This window comes from Homo sapiens, chromosome 2 (genome assembly GCF_000001405.40).
Source record: "Homo sapiens chromosome 2, GRCh38.p14 Primary Assembly".
NCBI lineage: Eukaryota > Metazoa > Chordata > Mammalia > Primates > Hominidae > Homo > Homo sapiens.
Genome location: NC_000002.12, coordinates 35601910 through 35606608, shown reverse-complemented (window position 1 = coordinate 35606608; position 4699 = coordinate 35601910).

Here is a 4699-nt window from a genome sequence, read left to right as displayed (position 1 = left end):
TAGTCATTGGCAAATTGCCAAAATACAGTAGACAAGGCTTCTAAATGAGGTGTAGATTGATGACTGGAATTTAAGGGTTATAAACAAGACCACCAAGGCCCAATTACCATCACTAGGTAAATAAATTCCACCCTTGAAAGTGGCTTGAGAGAGGAATCCCAAACTCCCTATGCAAAGAATCCCGAGCTGAACAGAATCAGGAGAGAGGGAAGCAAAGATGTATGTGCATTGGCAGTAGTCCAAAACTTTATGCAAAGGTTTACTGGTGTCCACTTGAGCTAAGGAAGAGGGGAAAAAATTGTACTAATAAATTTTTAGTGCTGAAAACATGAAATTTACCTTCAAGATGAGAGAGCAAATCCATTTGCTATTTGGATTATTTGCACCTACAGCTTTTTGCCTTTAAAATGGTTCTGCCAGAAATTGCTTTTTTTCTCAGTAGTTGTCCATGAAATTTTCATGGAAAATGAATTCAATTTTACCTTTTTTTCTTTTCAAGATGCATATATATTGCTACAGTCATTCTTGTGGAATTGGTTCCTCATATACCTCATTTTATAACACATAATACCCTAAAGTAGCAACTCAGGAAATGAAGAACTGTGGATTTTGCCTTGGTTTTGGTCAGGCTGCCTTCACATCAGGAACAAGTGGGGACAGAGGAGACGAAAACTGCGGGAGTTTTGCAGCCAATGAAGAAAAACAGAGGATAAATGCCCGTTAGCCACACTTAGGCAATTATATCATTCAGTTGATTTCCCTATTTTTTTTTTCCTTTGTACAAAACATTGTGAGCACAGTAGTTGCTCTCAATAATTTGACACTGCAGTGTAGAGAAAAGAAATGTAAACTAACGGTTCCATTCAAGAGGTTCTAGTAAAAAACCAATTTCCAAATTTAAGCGGTTGAGATGCACTCTGCCAAAGGCCTGGGCTTACTCTCTAGGGCATCTGTCCTCCATGAGGTGGCTCAGGATTGCAATTCTTTATCAAACTGTGATTCCACTATTACCTCAACAAAGAAAAGAGAGAAAATGGAGAGTTGGGCACGGGCAATTTAATGCCTCTGCCTAGGTCACTTCCTCCAAGGGTTCACTGTGCGTTTCAAGTCACAAGGTTCATACCTACATCAAAGATATGGGGAAGTACATTGTACCATAAGCCCAGAAAGAGAGGATTCCTGTTCACTAACAATATTTGTCACTTACTAGTTACAAATAAAATGCCAAAATGGTACAAATAGAGGTTTGTAAATATTATAAAAGCTAGAAGGAAGTATCATTTTAAAGGACAGTGTAGAGAATTATCTTGGAGCATAATTATGCATATGGTAAGTGAATACGGCAATTCTGCATGGGAAGAATACATAAATGAGGAAAGAGGCAGTGTTTAAAGCTATGAGAGTTGACTTGAAAACGTGTCAATTTTATCCCAAGGAACTTGGAATTTTTCTTGTAGGAAGAGGGGAGCTCTCTAGGGTTTTAAGGAGAGGAGCAAAGTGATAATATTTGTTCTTAAAAAAATTACCCTTCTAGGAGAAGAGAAAATGGATTTGAGAGGGATGAGTGTGGAGGGTATTATACTTTGGGCCCAAGATGATGTGGCTCCAAAGCACATCACCAAAGCATCTACACTAAAGATGGATTTGAGAGGCACTGGGACGTAGAAGCCAACATGGTCATTGATAGACTCCTGTCTATTGGAAACTTCACTGTCAATAAGAATATGAAAAGACAATATCTCCACCTCTAAATAGCTTATAATCTAGCAGAAAATCAGACATGTAAGAAACAGTGGTAAAAGAGTAGGTGTTCTGATGGGCAACAGAGTCTTAAGAGAAAGCCCCAGAGAGAGAAACATCAGATTCTGGAGTCATGCCAACGTTTTCTGCCTTTTTAGATTGATATGCCCCAGGGTTATTTTTTGCCTTTATTCTTTCTTAGTTTCATGTAATGACATTGAGCTGTTTCATACATGTCTAGCAAAGAATATGTTCTTACCTGCAGTGATCTGCAGGCCAATTCATTCTGAACCATCCTGTCCCACGAACACTTCCTGAATGCTATTGTCATCTAGAATTACCACACTTCTGAAATGATGAATTTAATAACTCTTATTCTGTGACCATGTCCTGAGATGATAATGTTTGAAATCTGGACACTTGATGGGGGCAAGTAGGTTGGGATGCAACTGAAACAGAACCATTCCTCAAGTCTTTAGTGTTTTATTAATATTCTGAAAAACCAGCTTAACTTGCACCATATAATATTAGTGTTCTCATCATACATGTAGACCAATATAATTCAGAGGACACTACTGTCTTATTCCTGGTCTTCATTCTTTCTATGTCTTTTTTCTTTTTAGTTATCTCTGAGAATTTCCTCTATAACCCACTGCAAATAGTTTCACACTACCACACTCTTTTTGTGCAGTGGTGTCTGAAGAGATTCTGAAATCTCTCTGCTTTCTCCTTCCCTGCCATTTCCAAATTCTGCCAACCAGGAAAGAGCATTAGAAACTTAAGCAATTATCTCTAGCTAGTATATGATCCTTCTCTTCCCAAGCAAGGTAAACTTTATTATTAAGTAATAGTTGAAATAAATAAGCTAGTATTTGTGGCATATAAATCATTCATGGTAATGTTATTTAGTGTAATGGAACTTGTCCTAATTAGGTTCTGTTTTCTTTATGCCATTTACTTATAATCATGTCGCATTTATATGACCACTTTAAATTTTAAGCTCACAAAGGGCAAGAAGCCCACCCCGGTTACTCTAGATAGCCTTGCAAAGTCGCATCCATAAGCTCATGATGGTTTGATGTTCCCGGTTTTGTTGTTTACATTAAAATTATTTGAAATTGCCTGTAATCTCAGCACTTTGGGAGGCCGAGGTGGGCAGATCACGAGGTCAGGAGATCGAGACCATTCTGGCTAACACGGTGAAACCTCGTCTCTACTAAAAATACAAAAAAAATTAGCTGGGCGTGGTGGCGGGCACCTGTAGTCCCAGCTATTCAGGAGGCTGAGGCAGGAGAATGGCGTGAACCCAGGAGGCAGAGCTTGCAGTGAGCCGAGATAGCGCCACTACACTCCAGCCTGGGTGACAGAGTGAGACTCTGTCTCAAAACAAAAATAATAATAATTTGAAATTTTGGTGCAATAGTGCCAATTTATCACTAAAAAGGCCTTGCCATAAAAATAAATTTATTTACTTCATTAGATGCTAATATTCATTGGTGAATGTTAATTTTCCTAAAATATTAATAAAAAGAGATGTTGAAATTCTATCTAAACCTTTCAATAATCACCAAAAGACATTGATTAAATTTATTTTCACCTTAAGTTTTTTTGCAGAAATATTTTGAAATAAATATGCTGTTAACTCTCCATAATTTTTTTTTGTTGTCTTTTTCGTTTTTGAGATGGATTATCACTCTATTGCCCAGGCTGGAGTGCACTGGCTCAAACTTGGCTCACTGCAACCTCCACCTCCAGAGTTCAAGTGATTCTCCTGCTTCAACCTACTGAGTAGCTGGGATTACAGGTGTGTGCCAACATGCCCAGCTAATTTTTGTATTTTTGGTAGAGATGGGGTTTTGCCATATTAGCCAGGCTGGTCTCGAACTCCTGACTTCAGGTGATCCTCCTGCCTCGGCCTCCCAAAGTGCTAGGATTACAGGTGTGATCCATTGTTGCCGGCCTCTCCATAAATTTTTTAAAATAAAACAAATATTTCACTTGTTCATCAAACCAATCTCTATATATATGTAGAAATGTAAAAGATTTGTGCTATTGATACAGTACTGAATTATAAAACGTAATTCAAGAGAGACCTTGGAAGCTATTTATATTATAAAGATGAAAAAAATAAAGCCACAAGAGGTTAAGTGACTTTTTCAAGATACTTGACAAAGAGAAGCATGATTCAGTGGCATGAGCACTGGCTTGGGCTGAAGCAGGAGAATTGCTTGAACCCAGGAGGCGGAGGTTGCAGTGAGCTGAGATCATGCCATTGCACTCCAGCCTGGGCAAACAAGAGTGAGACAAAACAAAAACAAAAACAAAAACAAAAAGCACTGTGTTGGATGTTAGAAATCTCTAATTGTATTTCCAGCTATGCCAAATATTTGTTATACCTGAGTGTTCTAATCTCTTGGACAAAAAGATGGAAGGGCTGCAAAATCTTTAAGCCTCTTTAATTTTAAAAGTCAAAATTTGAAGTTAAAGTCACACTACAATTAAAAAGATTGGTCAATGACTGAATTCCTGAGAGTTCAGTGTCAAGTAGACAGTCATCCCACCAGCCCTTTGTATCTGCATGTTCTGTATCCACAGACTCAACAAACCATGAATTGAAAATAGTTTTAAAAATAATAAAAAATAACAATATGACAAAAATGAATAGGAATTACAAAAAAATCTAATAGAGTATATCTACTATTTGCATATAATTTGCATTGTATTAGGTGTCAACAGTAATCTATAAATGATTTAGAGTATGCAGGAGGATGTGCATAAGTTTATGTAAATACCATGCCATTTAATAAGGGATTTGAGGATCTACAGATTTTGGTATGAGACAGGTCCTGGAAATAATCCCCACTGGATACTGAGGGATGATTCCATGAATGACTGTGTGATAGCTAACAGTGGCAACAACAGGAGAAGGCAAGCAAAAATTGTTAGCATTAGGAGGCAA